The sequence below is a fragment of the Homo sapiens genome, chromosome 11 (genome assembly GCF_000001405.40).
Source record: "Homo sapiens chromosome 11, GRCh38.p14 Primary Assembly".
In the NCBI taxonomy this organism is placed as follows: Eukaryota; Metazoa; Chordata; class Mammalia; order Primates; family Hominidae; genus Homo; species Homo sapiens.
In genome coordinates, this window is record NC_000011.10 from 108,420,394 (window position 1) to 108,438,649 (window position 18,256).

Sequence of the window (18,256 nt, forward strand, 5' to 3'; positions counted from 1 at the left end):
AAAGCCTGGGCCAATTCTGCTTGGACCTCTAAAGTGAATACTGCCACAATGGCTTCTAGACCCATCTCCTCACCCACCACATTCTGCTCAGTCACTGGACATGGGTTGACCTAGCATCACTGGAAAGGGTTGACCTAGCATCAGGCAGTTCTTTGCAATTAGGGTAGAAACTGAAGATCCTCACAGCTGGAGGCTGTCTGTGGACTGCAGTCCCTGAGATTGGGTAGTAAATCCTTCTTAAAGAGGGATCTAACAGCATATCCCTTATTTCCCACAAATGTTCATGATTTAGAGCTCTCAGTATTGTCATGATACCAGTTTTCCTCAAATTGAGCCAAATATTCAATACAATCTCGATCAACATTCCAACAGACTTTTAATTTAATTTTTTATTTTTATTTTGTAGAGATGGGGTCTCACTATGTTGCCCTGGCTGGTGTCAAACTCCTGAGCTCAAGTGATCCTCCTGCCTCAGCCTCCCAAAGTGCTGGGATTACAGGTGTGAGCTACCGCACCCGGCCAAAATTCCAATAGACTTTAAAAATATGTTTTATTTTGGTAAAAATCCACACAACATAAATTAACCATTAGTGACATTTAGTACTTTCATATTATACAGCCACTACTTCCACAATATTTTCATCACTCCAAAAGGAAACCCCATATCTATCAAGCAGTCACTTCCTTCACCCTAGCCCCCAACACCTGGCAAGCACTAGTCGTCTTTCTCTTTTTTGATAATCTCTATTTGTTCAGACATGTCCATGTATCTTTCTCCTCAGCTTCATTCTACCTAGATTTTTAGGTTTGCCTGTTCCTGCCTTGTCTGCTGTCTATTGCCTGAGGTGGCTGCAGGTTGTATATGATTTTAAATCCTATAAGCTGGCCCATCCCTGTGATGGCATGGAGAGGTGTGAAATAAAGGGAAACTCTGTGCAGGTTCCTCGGGGAACTGCCAGACAAATCAAAATACACAACCAGGCCAGGTGCGATAGCTCACGCCTATAATCCCAGAACTTTGGGAGGCCGAGGCGAGCGGATCACTTGAGGTCAGGAGTTCGAGACCAGCCTGACCAACATGGTGAAACCCTGTCTCTACTAAAAATACAAAAAAAATTAGCTGGGCTTGGTGGTGGCGCCTGTAATCCCAACTACTTGGGAGGCTGAAGCAGGAGAATCACTTGAATCTGGGAGGCGAAGGTTGCAGTGAGCCGAGATCGTGCCACTGCACTCCAGTCTGGGTGACAGAGCAAGACTCCATCTCAAAAACAAAAACAAACACACACACTCAAACATAACCACAATTTTTGAGAACAAGTTCTATATTTTACACTCTGGCCCCAAAAAGCCACACCAGGAATAGGGGCCTTTGTTTCCACAGCTGCTGCCAAGCTGGAGAACAAGGCATGTTTGATAGGTAGGCAAAAACACCACCCTGCTTTCTTCAAGTTTAGTAGCCTTTTTCTCCATTAAAAGCATTCCCCTGGTTGCTCTAAGTTTTTAATTAGATTCCAGAGTTCCAATAAAGTTGATTCTGATGGTTATTCTTTTTTTTTGAGACGAAGTCTCACACTGTCACCCGGGTTGGTGTGCAGTGGCGCAATCTCGGCTTGCTGCAACCTCTGCCTCCCTGGCCCAAGCGATTCTCCTGTCAACCTCCCGAGTAGCTGGGACTACAGGCGCATGCCACCATGCCTGGCTAATTTTTGTATTTTTAGTAGAGACGGGGTTTCACTATGTTGGCCAGGCTGGTCTCGAACTCCTGACCTCATGATCCGCCCGACTCAGCCTCCCAAAGTGCTGGGATTACAGGCGTGAGCCACCGCGCCTGGCCGACACTTATTCTTAGAATTCCTTACTCTACAATTTTCACTTCCCCAACAGATTTATTTTGGTGTGGAAATTGAAAAGCTAATTCAAACATTTATGTGGAAATAAAAAGCATTCAAGAATAGCCTGGAGTGTTTTCTTGAAAAAGAATTGTAAGATTGGAGGTCTTCTCTACCATTTAATAGGACTGTTATAAAGCTGTAATAGTTACGACAACAGTAGAAAAATAGACCAATGGAACAGACCAATACATAAATGGCCACCTGATTTAATTATTTTAAAGGTGGCACCGCAGAGCAGTAGGGACAGGATAGTATTTTCAATAAATAGCATTTAATCACTTGGATATCTGTAGGGAAGAATGAGAATGTTGACCTGGGCTGGGCATGGTGGCTCACACCTGTAATCCCAGCACTTTGGGAGGCCAAGGTGGGCGGATCACGAGGTCAGGAGATGGAGACCATCCTGGCTAACATGGTGAAACCCCGTTTCTACTAAAAATACAAAAATTAGCAGGGCATGGTGGCGGGCACCTGTAGTCCCAGCTACTCGAGAGGCTGAGGCAGGAGCATCACTTGAACCTGGGAGGCGGAGGTTGCAGTGAGCCAAGATCGCACCATGGGACTCCAGCCTGGGCGACAGAGCAAGACTCTGTCTCAAAAAAAAAAAAAAAGCTGGCCTGTACCTCACACCATACACAGAGGTCAGTCCCAGGTGGACTGCAGATCTAAGTATAAAATGCAAATCAATAAATCTTGTATAATATGAGAATATTTTTATAACCTTGGAGTTGGAAAAGGTTATAAAAAGCACCAGCTGTGCATTCTGGCCAGATACTATGCTTTTCGCACGATCTTCCCAACCTGCACACCAGGAGATTCCCTAGGTTGCCTATGCCAACAGGGCCCTGGGTTTCAAGCACAAAATTGAGCAGCCCTTTGGGCAGACACCAAGCTAGCTGCAGTTTTTTTTCATACCCCAGTGGCACCTGGAATGCCAGCGAGACAGACCCATTCACTCCCCTAGAAAGGGGGCTGAAGCCAGGGAGCCAAGTGGTCTAGCTCAGCGGATCCCACCCCCATGGAGCCCAGCAAGCTAAGATCCACTGGCTTGAAATTTTTGCTGCCAGCACAACAGTCTGAAATCGACCTGGGACACTGGAGTTTGGTGGGGGGAGGGACATCTGCAATTACTGAGGCTAGAGTAGGCTGTTTTCCCCTCACAGAGCACCTGGGGGAAGGGGTGGCTGTGGGTGTAGCTTCAGCAGACTTAAACGTTCCTGCCTGCCAGCTCTGAAGAGAGCAGCAGATCTCCCAGCACAGTGCTCGAGCTCTGCTAAGGGACAGACTGCCTCCTCAAGTGGATCCCTGACCCCCATGCCTCCTGACTGGGAGACATCTCCCAGCAGGGGTTGACAGACACCTCATATAGGAGAGCTCTGGCTGGCATCTGGCAGGTGCCCCTCTGGGACAAAGCTTCCAGAGGAAGGAACAGTCAGCAATCTTTGCTGTTCTGCAGCCTCCACTGGTGATACCCAGGCAAATAGGGTCTGGAGTGGAACTCCAGCAGACTCCAGCAGACCTGCAGCAGAGGGGCCTGTTAGAAGGAAAACTAACAAACAGAAAGGAATAGCATCAACATCAACAAAAAGAACATCCACACAGAAACCCCATTCGACGGTCACCAACATCAAAGACCAAAGGTAGAGAAAACCACAAAGATGAGGAAAAACAGGCACTAAAAGGCAGAAAATTCCAAAAACCAGAATACCTCTTCTCCTTCAAAGTATCACAACTCCTTGCCAGCAAGGGAACTAAACTGGACAGAGAATGAGTTAGACGAATTGACAGAAGTAGGCTTTAGAAGGTGGATAACAAACTCCTCCGAGCTAAAGGAGCATGTTCTAGCCCATGTAAGGAAGCTAAGAACCTTAAAAAGAGGTTAGAGGAATTGCTATCTAGAATAACCAGTTTAGAGAAGAATATAAATGACCTGATGGAGCTGAAAAACACAGCACAAGAACTTTGTGAAGGATACACAAGTATCAATAGCTGAATTGATCAAGCGGAAGAAAGGACATCAGAGATTGAAGATCAACTTAATGAAATAAAGCATGAAGACAAGATTAGAGAAAAAAGAATGAAAAGGAGTGAACAAAGCCTCCAAGAAATATGGGACTATGTGAAAAGACCAAACCTACATTTGATTGATATACCTGAAAGTGATGGGGAGAATGGAACCAAGTTGGAAAACACTCTCCCAATACAGGAACACTCAGATTCATAAAGCAAGTTCTTAGAGACCTACAAGGAGACTTAGACTCCCACACAATAATTATGGGAGACTTTAACACCCCCCTGTCAACATTAGACAGATCAACGAGACAGAAAATTAACAAGGATATTCAGGACTTGATCTCAGCTCTAGACCAAGCAGACCTAATAGACATCTACAGAACTCTCCACCCCAAAGCAACAAAAGATACATTCTTCTCAACATCACATCGCACTTATTCTAAATTGACCACATAATTGGAAGTAAACACTCCTCAGCAAATGCAAAAGAATGGAAATCCTACCAGTCTCTCAGACCACAGTGCAATCAAATTAGAACTCCGGATTTTAAAACTCACTCAAAACTGCACAACTACATGGAACCTTAACACCTGCTCCTGAATGACTACTGGATAAATAACGAAACGAAGGCAGAAATAAATAAGTTATTTGAAACCAATGAGAACAAAGACACAATGTACCAGACTTCCCAGGAAACAGCTAAAGCAGTGTTTAGAGGGAAATTTATAGCACTAAATGGCCATAGGAGAAAGCGGGAAAGATCTAAAATTGACACCCTAATATCACAATTAAAAGAACTAGAGAAGCAAGAGCAAACACATTCAAAATCTAGCAGAAGACAAGAAATATCTACGATCAGAGCAGAACTGAAGGAGATAAGAGACACAAAAAAACCTGCAAAAAATCAGTGAATCCAGGAGCTGTTTTTTTGAAAAGATTAACAAAATAGACCACTAGCCAGACTAACAAAGAAGAGAGAAGAATCAAATAGATACAATAAAAAATGATAAAGATGATATCACCACTGATCCCAGAGAAATACAAACTATCATCAGAGAATACTATACACACCTCTATGCAAATAAACTAGAAAATCTAGAAGAAATGGATAAATTCCTGGACACATACACCCTCCCAAGACTAAACCAGGAAGAAGTCAAATCCCTGATAGACCAATAACAAGTTCTGAAATTGAGGCAGTAATTAATAGGCTACCAACCAAAAAAATCCCAGGACCAGATGGATTCACAGCTGAATTCTACCAGAGATACAAAGAGGAGCTGGTACCATTCCTTCTGAAACTATTCCAAACAATAGAAAAAGAGGGGCTACTCCCTAACTCATTTTATGAGGCCAGCATCATCCTGATACCAAACCCTGGCAGAGACACAACAAAAGAAGAAAATTTCAGGCCAATATACCTGATGAACATCAATGTGAAAATCCTCCATAAAATACTGGCAAACCGAATCTAGCAGCACATCAAAAAGCGTATCCACCACGATCAAGTCGGCTTCATCCCTGGGATGCAAGGCTAGTTCAACATACACAAATCAATAAATGTAATCCATCACATAAAAAGAACCAATTACAAAAACCACGTGATTATCTCAATAGATGCAGAAAAGGCCTTTGATAAAATTCAACACCGCTTCGTGCTAAAAACTTTCAATAAACTAGGTATTCATGGAACGTATCTCAAAATAATAAGAGCTATTTATGACAAACCCACAGCCAATACCATACTGAATGGGCAAAAGCTGGATGCATTCCCTTTGAAAACCGGTATAAGACAAGGATGCCCTCTCTTACCACTCCTTTTCAACATAGTATTGGAAGTTCTGGCCAGGGCAATCAGGCAAGAGAAAAAAATAAAGAGTATTCAAATAGAAAGAGAGGAAGTCAAATTGTCTCTATTTGCAGATGACATGATTGTATATTTAGAAAGCCCCATTGTCTCAGCCCCAAATCTTCTTAAGCTGATAAGCAACTTCAACAAAGTCTCAGGACACACAATCAATCTGCAAAAATCACAAGCATTCCTATACACCAATAATAGACAATCAGAGACCCAAATAATGAGTGAGCTCTCATTCACAATTGCTACAAAGAGAATAAAATACCTAGGAATACAACTCACAAGGGATATGAAGGACCTCTTCAAGGAGAACTACACACCACTGCTCAAGGAAATAAGAGAGGACACAAACAAATGGAAAAACATTCCATGCTCATGAATAGGAAGAATCAATACTGTGAAAATGGCCATACTGCCCAAAGTAATTTATAGATTCTATGCTATCCCCATCAAGCTACCATTGACTTTCCTCATAGAATTAGAAAAAACTACTTTAAATTTCATATGGAACCAAAAAAAAAACCTGTATAGCCAAGACAATCCTAAGCAAAAAGAACAAAGTTGGAGGCATCATGCTACCTGACTTCAAACTATACTACAAGGCCACAGTAACCAAAACAGCATGGTACTGATACCAAAACAGATATATAAACCAATGGAACAGAACAGAGGCCTCAGAAATACCACCACACATCTCATCCTTGACAAACCTGACAAAAACAAACACATCTTTGACACTATCTCATTTTTCACAAACCTGACAAAAACAAGCAATGGGGAAAAGATTTCCTATTTAATAAATAGTGCTGGGAAAAATGGCTAGCCATATGCAGAAAACTAAAACTGGACCCCCCTTCCTTACACCTTATACAAAAATTAACTCTAGATGGATTAAAGACTTAAACGTAAGACCTAAAACCATAAAAATCCTAGAAGAAAACCTAGGCAATACCATTCAGGACCTAGGCATGGGCAAAGACTTCATGATTAAAACACCAAAAGCAATGGCAATAAAAGCCAAAAGTGACAAATGGGATCTAATTAAACTAAAGAGCTTCTGCACACAAAAGAAACTATCATCAGAATGAACAGGCAACCTACAGAATGGGAGAAAATTTTTGCAATCTATCCATCTCACAAAGGGCTAATATCCAGAATCTATAAGGAACTTAAACAAATTTACAAAAAAAAAAAAACCCCACCAAAAAGGGGGTGAAGGATATGAACAGATGCTTCTCAAAAGAAGACAATTATGTGGTCAACAAACATATTTTAAAAAGCTCGGCCGGGCGCGGGCTGACGCCTGTAATCCCAGCACTTTGGGAGGCCGAGACAGGCGGATCACGAGGTCAGGAGATCGAGACCATCCTGGCTAACACGGTGAAACCCCGTCTCTACTAAAAAAAAATACAAAAATTAGCCGGGCATGGTGGCGCGCGTCTGTAGTCCCAGCTACACGGGAGGCTGAGGCAGGAGAATGGCGTGAACCCGGGAGGCGGAGCTTGCAGTGAGTTGAGATCGCGCCACTGCACTCCAGCCTGGGCGACAGAGCGAAACTCCGCCTCAAAAAAAAAAAAAAAAAAAAAAAAGCTCATCATTACTGGTCATTAGAGAAATGCAAATCAAAACCAAAATGAGATACCATCTCACGCCAGTTAGAATGGCAATCTTTTTTTTTTTTTTTTTTTTTTTGAGACAGAGTCTCGCTCTGTTGCCCAGGCTGGAGTGCAGTGGCGGGATCTCGGCTCACTGCAAGCTCCGCCTCCCGGGTTCACGCCATTCTCCTGCCTCAGCCTCCCAAGTAGCTGGGACTACAGGCGCCCGCCACTACGACCGGCTAATTTTTTGTATTTTTAGTAGAGACGGGTTTCACCGTTTTAGCCGGGATGGTCTCGATCTCCTGACCTCGTGATCCACCCGCCTCGGCCTCCCAAAGTGCTGGGATTACAGGCGTGAGCCACCGCGCCCACCCAGAATGGCAATCATTAAAAAGTCAGGAAAGAATAGATGCTGGAGAGGATGTGGAGAAACAGGAATGCTTTTACACTGTTGGTGGGAGTGTAAATTAGTTCTACCAGTTGTGGAAGACAGTGTGACAATTCCTCAAGGATCTAGAACCAGAAGTACCATTTGACCCAGCAACCCCATTACTGGGTATATACCAAAAGGATTATAAATCATTCTACTATAAAGACACATGCACACGTATGTTTATTGGAGCAGTGTTCACAATAGCAAAGACTTGGAACCAACCCAAACGCCCATCAATGACAGACTGGATAAAGAAAATGTGCCACATATACACCATGGAATACCATGCAGCCATAAAAAAGGATGTGTTCATGTCCTTTGCAGGGACATGGATGAAGCTGGAAACCATCATTCTCAGCAAACTAACACAGGAACAGAAAACCAGACACCGCACATTCTCACTCATAAGTGGGAGTTGAACAATGAGAACACATGGACACAGGGAGGGGAACATCACATACTGGGGTCTGTAGAGGCGTTGGGGGGCTAGAGGAGGGATAGCGTTAGGAGAAATACCTAATGTAGATGACAGGTTGATGGGTGCAGCAAATCACCATGGTACATGTATACCTATGTAACAAACCTGCATGTTCTGCACATGTATCCCAGAACTTAAAGTATTAAAAAACAAACAAACAAACAAAAATACCAAAAAACGAAACAAAACAAAAAACACCAGCTTGGTGTAGTGGCTCATGCCTGTTATCCCAGCACATTGGGAGGCCAAGGCATAAGGATTGCTTGAGCCCAGGAGTTTGAGACGAGCCTGCGTAACCTAGGGAGATCCCATCTCTACAAAAAATGAAAAAATTAGCTGGGCATGGTGGCATGTGCCTGTTGCTCCAGCTACTTGTGAGGCTGAGGTGGGAGGATCGCTTGGGCCCAGGAGGTTGAGGCTGCAGTGAACTGTGATCACACCACTATGCTCCAGCCTGGGAGACAGAACGAGACCCTGTCTCAAAAAAAGAAAAAGAAAAAAGAAAAAAACAAATTAAAAAGGCACCAACCACATAGGAAAATATTGATAAATTGAACTACATTAAAATTAAGAACTTTGTTCATCAAAAGACACCACTGCTTCAAAATAACCTAGAGGTTGTAGAAAGTGGGTAGAGGTATAGATGAAATAAGATTGGTTATGAATTGCTAACTGTTGAAGCTAGATGATGGGTACATGGTGGCTTATGATTTTACTCTTTCTCCTTTTGCATATATTTGACATGTTTTATAATAAAAATCAAAGGAAAGACTCCATTAAGAGAGTGACAAGCCACAGAGTGAAAAAAAGATGCAAGTAACAGATAACTGACAAAGGGCTTCTATGAAGAATATATAACCCTTGTGCATTATTGGTGAGAGTACAAAATGGTACAGCCACTGTGGAAAACAGTATGGTTGTTCCTAAAAAACTTAAAAATGGAATTACCATATGATCCAGCAATTCCACTTCTGGATATATACCCAAAAGAATTAAAAGAAGGGTCTCAAAGAGATATTTGTATAACCATTTATAGAAGCATTATTCATAATAGCTAAAACATGGAAGCAACCCAAGTGTCCATTGGTGGATGACTGAACAAGTACAATGTAGTATATACACACAATGGAATATTATTCAGCCTTAAGAAAGGAAAGAAATCCCGCAATAAACTATTACATGGGTGAATCTTGAGGACACTGTGCTAAGTGACATAAGCCAATCACAAAAAGGCAAGTACTGTATAATTCCACTCCTATGAGGTAATTAGTCAAATTCATAGGGACAGGAGGTAGAATGATAGTTGCTGGGAGATAGGTGGAAGGGAAAATAAGGAGTTACTGTTTAATGAGGATAGAGTTTTGGTTTTGTAAGATGAAAAGATTTATGGAGATGGGTGGTGGTGATGGTTGGTGATGGTTACACACATTATAAATGTGTTTAGTACTACTGAACTGTATTCTTTTTTTTTTTTTTTTTTTGAGACAGAGTCTTGCTCTGTCGCCCAGGCTGGAGTGCAGTGGTGTGATCTCTGCTCACTGAAAGCTCCGCCTCCCACGTTCATGCCATTCTCCTGCCTCAGCCTCCCGAGTAGCTGGGACTACAGGCACCTGCCACCACGCCTGGCTAATTTTTTTTTTTTTTTTTGTATTTTTAGTAGAGACAGGGTTTCGCCATGTTAGCCAGGGTGGTCTCGATCTCCTGACCTCGTGATCCGCCCGCCTCGGCCTCCCAAAGTGCTGGAATTACAGGTGTGAGCCACTGCGCCCAGCCTGAACTGTATTCTTAAAAATCGTTAAGATAGTAAATTTTATATTATGCGTACTTTACCACAAAAAGTAAATTGAGAAAAAAGTAGTTTTAAAAAAATACAAAGAACTGATTTTTAAAAGACCAATAAGGGTACGGTGGTTTACACCTGTAATCCCAGCACTTTGGGAGGCCAAGGTAGGCAGATCACTTGAGTCCAGGAGTTCAAGACCAGCTTGAGCAACATGGCAAAACCCTGTCTCTACTGAAAATACAAAAAATTAGCTGGACGCGGTGGCATGCGCCTATAGTCCCAGTTATTCATGGGGCTGAAGCAGGAGGATTGCTTGAGTCCAGGAGGTTAACGCTGCAGTGAGCCCTGATCGTGCCACTGCACTCTAACCTGGGTGACAGAGTGAGACCCTGTCTTAAAAAAATAAATAAATAAAACAAAAAAAAACCCAAAACCCATAAGGATAGGGAACACACACACACACACACACACACACACACACACACACACACACACACAGAGGAGAGTTGAATAAGCACTTTCCACATCACAAAAGTATCAGGGAAATACAAATTACAAACTGACAATATTATGTATTGGTGAGAATGTAAAGCACTAAGAATACCAAAGATTGCTAGTGCAAATATAAATTAGTACAATAGCTTTGGGAAATAATCTGGCATTATCTCCCAGAGTTGTGATAAGGATAATTTGTTGCTCACCAATTCCATTTCTAGGTGTAGTATAAACAAAAAAAAAATGTGTACACTTATCCATGAGGAGACATGAAAATTCCCAGAAACAGTTATTAAAATAGCCCCAAACTAGAAAAAATACAAAAGTCAATCAACTGTAGAATGAATAAATAGCAATATATTCATAAAAGAGAATAATGGCTATTAATTAAAAATGAATGAATTTTAGCTACATAAATGTATTGTTGGATGAACAAATATATACCCCAAAGCATACTATAGGATTCTATTTATATACAGTTCAAAAACAGGAAATTAAAGTATTATGTTAGAATATAAAATAGTGGTTACCTTTTGGAAGAAGGGAGTTGGCAATGATTTGCAGGGTACCCAAAGGGAGTGATTTGGAGTATGAAAACATTGATCTGGGTGACGGTTACATAGGTGTTTGCTTTGTGATGATTCATTGAGCTATATATGTTTTATGAACTTTCAACATATGTGTAATACTTTAATAAAAACAGTTTTAAAAAGAAACAAATATGATGAGCACACTGAATTGATAAAGTAATCACATTTTATGGAAAAATATAGGATGCTATATCAATAAGTAATGTCCTTACCTCTTTGGGATTAATATATTTCACTATCTGACGTGGTTCTCCTTGTCTTCTTAAATCAATCAGACTTTTAAAGTGTTGAAATATAGCGACATTCTAAAGGTTCAAACACAAGATTTCATGATCAAAACTGGATTTTCTATTTCTACTTCGCTTTTTGTCTAATCAGGGCAAAAACGAATAAAGTACCATAAAATAGATTTTTATGTATCCACACTAGATTTTAGAAATATTATGCACTCAGGGTTTGCTTTGATAACCCTAGTAGTATTAGTATAATTCTCACAAAGAGATTTATTCTTAAATTTGTAATTGCATCACTACCAACTATAAATGTAATATCCCAAACTTTGGTAAAGTCATCTCAGTGTACTCTCCAGAGTAATCTAGAAAAAAACCAAAATACAGACTACTGATTAAGAACCACTGAGTATGGGATACTCTTGTCTGGGTTCAGCTGTTAGTATTTAGCAGCTGTGACTGTCGACAAGTTGCTTAACCTCTTTGCACTCAGTTTCTTCAACTATAAAGTGGGAATGATAGTAGCCATCTCATACAGCTTTGGTGAGAAATACATGAATTAATATTTGTAGAGCATGTAAAGCTTTCTGACACAAGAAAACATTCAATAAATATTAGCCATTGTTACCATTGCAGAATCCTCCTTATTCCTATAGTAATCCCACTGATGTATTACAGGATTCTGTAATGGTAACAACGACTAATATTTATTGAGTGTTCATCTATTTTTCACATTAGTGCAAATTTAGCTAAACAATCCCTACCAATTAGTCCATCTTGGAAAATTATTTCTTTGGTAACTCTCCCCTCAAGCCCCATCTCCCTAAAAATGCTTTAATAACTCTTGGTAAACACCCCACTCCCCATTTGCTTATGTTAAAGCAAATAAAATAAATTCAAATTTAAGTAACCCATAGTACCAATATAACAATCTAAAGCCCCACTACAATTGCCTATGGAAGATGGTACAGCCCATGTCTATACTAATAGTATTCTTTCTGAAAGGAGGATATAATTTTCCCCAAATAAAACTCCAAATTGAGTATCAAGAAATACTTATTATGGTTTAAAATCTGAATAGTATCTTCTAAATAGGTGGTTACTATATCAGTTGTCTACTAATACATAACAAACCACCCTAAAACTTAGTGGTTTAGAGCAACAACCATTTATTATTTCTCTCTTCCTGTGGGTTGACAGGGGAGTTCTGCTGGTCTTGGTTGGACTCATACATGTGGCCTTAGTCAGCTGCCAGATCAGCTGGAGTTGAGTGATTTAATATGGCCTCACCCACATATCAGGGTCTTCAGCTGAAATTTTTGGAATATCTAGGATAGCTGGGCCTCTCTTTCCAAACAGACCTTCAGTTTGAGCTTCTTCATAGTATGGAGGTTTTAAAGTACCAAAGAGAGACTGGGTGCAATGGCTCACGCCTGTAATCCCAGCACTTTGGAGGGGCGAGGCATTAAAAAAAAATTTATATATATATATCTCTCTCTATATATATATAGATATATATAGATATATATATATGCCGGGCTCAGTGGCTCACGCCTATAATCCCAGCACTTTGGGAGGCCAAGGTGGGTGGGATCATGAGGTCAGGAGATCGAGACCACCCCGGCTAACACAGTGAAACCCTGTCTCTACTAAAAATACAAAAAAAATTAGTTAGATGTGGTGGCAGGCGCCTGCAGTCCCAGCTACTCGGGAGGCTGAGGCAGGAGGATGGTGTGAACCCAGGAGGCGGAACTTGCAGTGAGCAGAGATCACGCCACTGCACTCCAGCCTGGGTGACAGAGTGAGACTCCGTCTCAAAACAAAACAAAACAAAACAAAACAAAACAAAAAAAGTACCAAAGACAGAAAGTGGAAGTTACAAGGTTTCTTAAGGCCTTATCTTGGAAGTCACAGCAACATTTATTCTGCATTCCATTGGTCAAACTCAAGTCCTAACAGGGCTTGTTAGGCTTGGCCCCTAAGGGGGTCAAGTAAAAGGTGGGACTCACAGGAAGTTCTATATACATTACAGCTTCACTTGCAGTACAGAGAGGAAGGGAAATCCTTCTACTGGGACAGAACCTCAAGTAGCATACCTGGTTGTATATTGTGCCTGGAAGAAAAGATGGCCAGAAGTATAGATCTATAGATGGATGGTGATTGATGGATGGTTTGACTGGATGGTCAGGGATTTGGAAAGAACATGGTTAGAAAATTGGTGACAAGTGGTCTGGGGAAGAGGTATGTGCAGACTTCTCCAGATGGGCACCAAGTGAGAAGATGCTTGTGTCGTATGTGAATGCTCACCAAAGAACAATCTCAACAGAGAAGAATCTTAATAATCAGGTGAGCAAGATGACTCATTCCTTGGAATCAGTCAGCCTTTCCCCCTAGCCACTGCTATCCTTGCACTATGTGCTCATGAACAAAGTGGTCATAGCAGTAGGAATGGAGGTTATGTCTGGGTGTGGTGGCTCATAGCTGTAATCCCAGCACTTTGGGAGGCTAAGGCAGGTGGATCACTTGAGGTCAGGGGTTCGAGATCAGCCTGGCCAACATGGTGAAACCACATCTCTACTAAAAATACAAAAATTAGCTGGGCATGGTGGTGTGTGCCTGTAATCCCAGCTACTCAGGAGGCTGAGGCAGGAGAATCGCTTGAATCTGGCAAGCGGAGGTTGCAGTGAGCCGAAATGGTGCCACTGCACTCCAGCCTGGGTGACAGAGGGAGACTCTGTCTCAAAAAAAAAAAAAAAGGAATGGAGGTTATTCATAGGCTCAGCAACATGAATTTCTACCCACTAGATCTGGCTACTGCCACCACTGAGAGAGTCCAACTTGCCAACACAGAGACTAACACTGAGCCCCTGGTATGGCATAATTCCTTGGGGGAACTACCTAGCTTCCTTGAGACAAAAATTGATTATTTGGAACACTTCCATTATGGAAAGGGCAACACTTCTTTTCTCACTGGAATTGACATCTGATCCTTCCATGTGCACAGTGTTTCCACAAAAACCTTCTGTGTACTTTGAAAATGCTTTATTCTCTGTCATGGTATTCCACACAGCATTGCTCCTGATTAGAGAACTTGGTTCACAACAAGTGTAGCACACCAATGGGCCCATGCTTGTGAAATTCATAAATCTTACCTTGTTCCCAATCACCCTGAAGTAACTGGCCTGATAGAATAGTGGAATGGCATGTTAAAGACTCAGTTGCAATTTAGAATTCAGTGATAACACTTTTCAGACTAGGACGACATCCTCTATGTTGTAGTAGATGCTCTGAATGAATATCGTGCTATTTCTCACACAGCCAGCATCCATGAATTTGGGAATTAAGTGGTAGAAATGGAAGTGGCTCCCTCTCAATATTATCTTTAATGATCCACTAGTGAAAATTTTGCTTCCTGTCCTTCTTTGTACCTTTGTGCTCTGCAGATATAATGGTCTTAGTTTCCACAGGAAGAACGTTTCCACCAAAGTACATACCAATGTTAAAATGGAAACTGATACTGCCACCTGACCATCTTGTTCTCCTCATACCAATAAACCAACATGAAAAAAAAAAGACAATTACCATACTGGCTGGGGTAATTAATCCTGATTCTTAGGAGAAAATGAGCTATTACTACCAGTAGAAATTAAGGAAGATGTCTAGAATTCAGGAGAACTTTTGGGGTGTTTTTTAGTAATACCATATTCTGTAAGAAAAGTTAATGGAAAATTATAACAACCCCAAACAGGCAGAATTGTTAAAGGTCTAGCCCCTTTAGGAATGAAGTTTTGCGTCATTCCCTTCCTCCACCCCTGAGCAAGGAACCACAACCAGCTGAAGTGCTTGCTGAAAAAAAGAGAGAATATGAAATAGCTAGTGGAAGAAAAAAGTTAAAAATACCAGCTATGATTCCCATAATTAGCTGCAGAAACAGGTAGTATCTATGAGTATTTCTTCTATATATCTGCATATAAATATTAGCCATTTTTTTCTTTTGTTTTCTCCTGCTCCCATTCCCCTAAAACAAATGTAAAGTGTGTTAATCATAGTGTGGTAGGCAGCATAACGCTCCCTAACAAAAGATGTTCACACCTAATCCCTGTAATCTGTAATGTGTAAATATGCTGTTACATGGAGAGGGTGAATTAGGATTGCATTTGGAACTAAGGTTGCTAATCAGCTGACTTTGACACAGGGAAATTATCCTCATTGGCCCAAGGTAATTGCAAGGGTCCGTATAAAGGACATAGAAGAGTCAGCAAGAGTGGTGTGATGAGGGAAAGACTTGACAGGTCATTGCTGGTTTTGAAAATAGACAGGGGTTGCTCCAGGAAAGGATTTTAGGAGGAAAAAAAAAAAAAAGAAAGAAAATAGAAGGGCATAATGAGCCAAGGATGCGGGCAACTTCTAGAAGGAGGAAAAGGCAGGAAATTCTTCCCTAGAGCCTCCAGAGAGAACACAAGCTCTGCTGACGCTTGATTTTAGCCCAGTGAAGCCCATTTCAGACTTCTGACCTCCAGAACCGTAAGATAATACATTTTTGTGGTTTAAAGCACTAACTTTGTGGCAATTTTTACAGTAGCATTAGGAAATTAATACAAGTACTTAACCTTCCACCTGGTATTTAAAGTATAAGATATCATAGGTAGAGTATGGTTCAGCAAAAAGAGGAATAAAAATGATCCAAAAAGGGATAAAGGTACTTTTGGGAAGGTTGTGAATATGCTTTGGCCTGTATGAGGAATGTTAGGTGGAAGCATGGTTTTGATTCTATTTGGAAGTTAAATATGGTTAAAAGGGATTTGTATGGATGCCAAGGTGACAAGGGGTAGACTCAGCTGGGTTATTCTATTGTCAACTTGACCAAACAAGGACAAATATAAAGAAAATGACATATAGACACATCATAATCAAACTGCTAAAAACCAAAGACAAAGACGCAATTTAAAAGCAGCCAGAAAATAAATACCACAATACTTTCAGAGTAGAAACGGTAACACTATTTATTGACTTTTTAATAGAAACTATGGGAGACAGAATACAATGGAATGCCATCTGAGTGCTGAGGGGGGAAAAATCCCAATAACATGCCAGTCCAGATTTCTATGAAATGTGATAATATTCTTTGAAAATAAAAAGGAAATAAATATGCTTTTAGACAAACAAAAGCTGAAGGGATTTTTCACAGGAGGTCTGGCATCTAAGAAATCTTATAAGAAATACTACAGACACATCTATAGTTCCAGAACTTTGGGAGGCTGACATGGGAAGATCACTTGAGGCTAGGAGTTTGAGACCCACCAGGTCAACATATTAAGAACCCATTACGACAAAAAAAAAAAAAAAAGGGGGGGGGTGGACAAAATTTTAAAAATTATCTAGGTGTGGTGATGCACACCTGAAGTCCTAGCTACTCAGTAGCTTGAGGTAGGAGGATCACTTGAGCTCAGGAATTCGAGGCTACAGTGAGCTATGATTGCACCACTGCACTCCAGCCTGGGTGACAGAGCAAGAACTTGCCTCTCAAAAACAAAATCAAACTACAGAGAATTCTTGAGTTGGCAGAAAATTAATACCATAAGGAAGCAAATAAGGCTGCAGGAACAAATGAAGGGCTCTGGAAATGGTTTGTATCTGGATAGATAAAAATAGATACTGAAGGCTGGGTGCAGTGGCTCACGCCTGTAATCCCAGCACTTTGGGAGGCTGAGGCGGGCAGATCATGAGGTCAAGAGATCGAAACCATCCTGGCCAACATGGTGAAACCCCGTCTCTACTAAGCATACAAAAATTAGCTGGGCATGGTGGCGCATGTCTGTAGTCCCAGCTACTCGGGAGGCTGAGGCAGGAGAATCGCTTGAATCCGGGAGGCAGAGGCAGAGGTTGCAGTGAGCTGAGATAGCACCACTGCACTCCAGCCTGGTGACAGGTGAGACTCAGTCTTAAAAAAAAAAAAAAAAAAAAAAAAAAAAAAAGGATAAGGAAATTAAACGGAAAAACACCCCACATTCACAGATTGGAAGCCTTAGTATTGTTAAGATGACAGTATTACCCAAAGCAATGTACAGATTCAATGTAATCACTATCCAAAATCCCAACGGCACTTTTTGAAAAAATAGAAAAGCCCATCCTAAAATCTATGTGGAACACAAGGGACCCTGAATAGCCAAACAGTCTTGAAAAAGAATAAAATAAGTGAAAAAGTGTGAGTTGGAGAGCCATACTTCCGGATTTCAAAACTTACTAAAGCTACAATAATCAAAACAGTTTGGTACTGGCCTAAGGACAGATATATAGGCCAATGGAATAGCATAGAGAGCCTCCAAATAGACTCATATATATGTCGTCAACTCATTTTTGACAAGGGTTTCAAAACCATTCAATGAAGAGGACAGTATTTTCAACAAATGTATCCGTGACAATTATATACCCACATGAAAAATAATGAAATTGGGTCCTTAATTTACACCATATGCAACATTAAATCAAAATGGATCAAAGATTTAGGTGGCATGCAGTGGCTCACGCCTATAATTTCAGCAATTTGGGAGGCCGAGACGGGCAGATCACTTGAGGTCAGGAGTTTGAGACCAGCCTGGCCAACGTGGTGAAACCCTGTCTCCACTAAAAATACAAAAATTAGCTGGGCATGTGGCGCACTCCTGTAGTCCCAGCTACTCGGTAGGCTGAGGCAAAAGAATCCCTCAAACCTGGGAGGCGGAGTTGGCACTGAGCTGAGATTGAGTCACTGCACTCCAGCTTGGGCAACAAAGCAAGATTTCGTCTGGAAAAAAAAAAAATCAAAGATCCAAATATAAGAGTTAAAGCCATAAAACTCCTAGAAGAAAATATGGGGGAAAAGCTTCATGACGTTGGATTTGGTAAT

At 41.1% G+C, this 18,256-nt stretch overlaps 1 protein-coding gene across 28 annotated transcripts in view, besides 4 other annotated features; it reads right to left on the bottom strand.

Annotated features, from left to right (window-relative positions):
* The window catches only part of C11orf65 (chromosome 11 open reading frame 65), a 161,363-nt gene that overhangs the window by 111,875 nt on the left and 31,232 nt on the right, over positions 1-18,256 (bottom strand). For 17 of the 28 annotated variants that reach the window (NR_147053.3, XM_047426461.1, XM_047426462.1 and 14 more), the window contains one exon: positions 11,353-11,445. The exons of the other annotated variants lie outside the window; for them this stretch is intronic. Coding sequence is in view for 16 of the 17 variants with exons in the window: in XM_047426461.1 (XP_047282417.1) it covers positions 11,353-11,445 (93 nt within the window). In the remaining variant the exon portion in view is untranslated. The remainder of the gene's footprint in view (positions 1-11,352; positions 11,446-18,256) is intronic. 28 annotated transcript variants of the gene reach the window in all.
* Positions 3,581-3,725: an enhancer, noted in NCBI's record as "145 bp 11:108294773 sequence used in MPRA reporter constructs". NCBI's record gives its function as "activates a minimal TATA-containing promoter with rs4754319 allelic activity by MPRAs in C283T melanocytes {active_cell/tissue: C283T}" and the evidence as "EXISTENCE:reporter gene assay evidence [ECO:0000049][PMID:36423637]".
* Position 3,653: a transcriptional cis regulatory region, noted in NCBI's record as "rs4754319 or 11:108294773 MPRA-significant variant associated with a GWAS melanoma risk locus at 11q22.3". NCBI's record gives its function as "allelic transcriptional activity by MPRAs in C283T melanocytes {active_cell/tissue: C283T}" and the evidence as "EXISTENCE:reporter gene assay evidence [ECO:0000049][PMID:36423637]".
* Positions 10,130-10,274: an enhancer, noted in NCBI's record as "145 bp 11:108301322 sequence used in MPRA reporter constructs". NCBI's record gives its function as "activates a minimal TATA-containing promoter with rs11212628 allelic activity by MPRAs in UACC903 melanoma cells {active_cell/tissue: UACC903}" and the evidence as "EXISTENCE:reporter gene assay evidence [ECO:0000049][PMID:36423637]".
* Position 10,202: a transcriptional cis regulatory region, noted in NCBI's record as "rs11212628 or 11:108301322 MPRA-significant variant associated with a GWAS melanoma risk locus at 11q22.3". NCBI's record gives its function as "allelic transcriptional activity by MPRAs in UACC903 melanoma cells {active_cell/tissue: UACC903}" and the evidence as "EXISTENCE:reporter gene assay evidence [ECO:0000049][PMID:36423637]".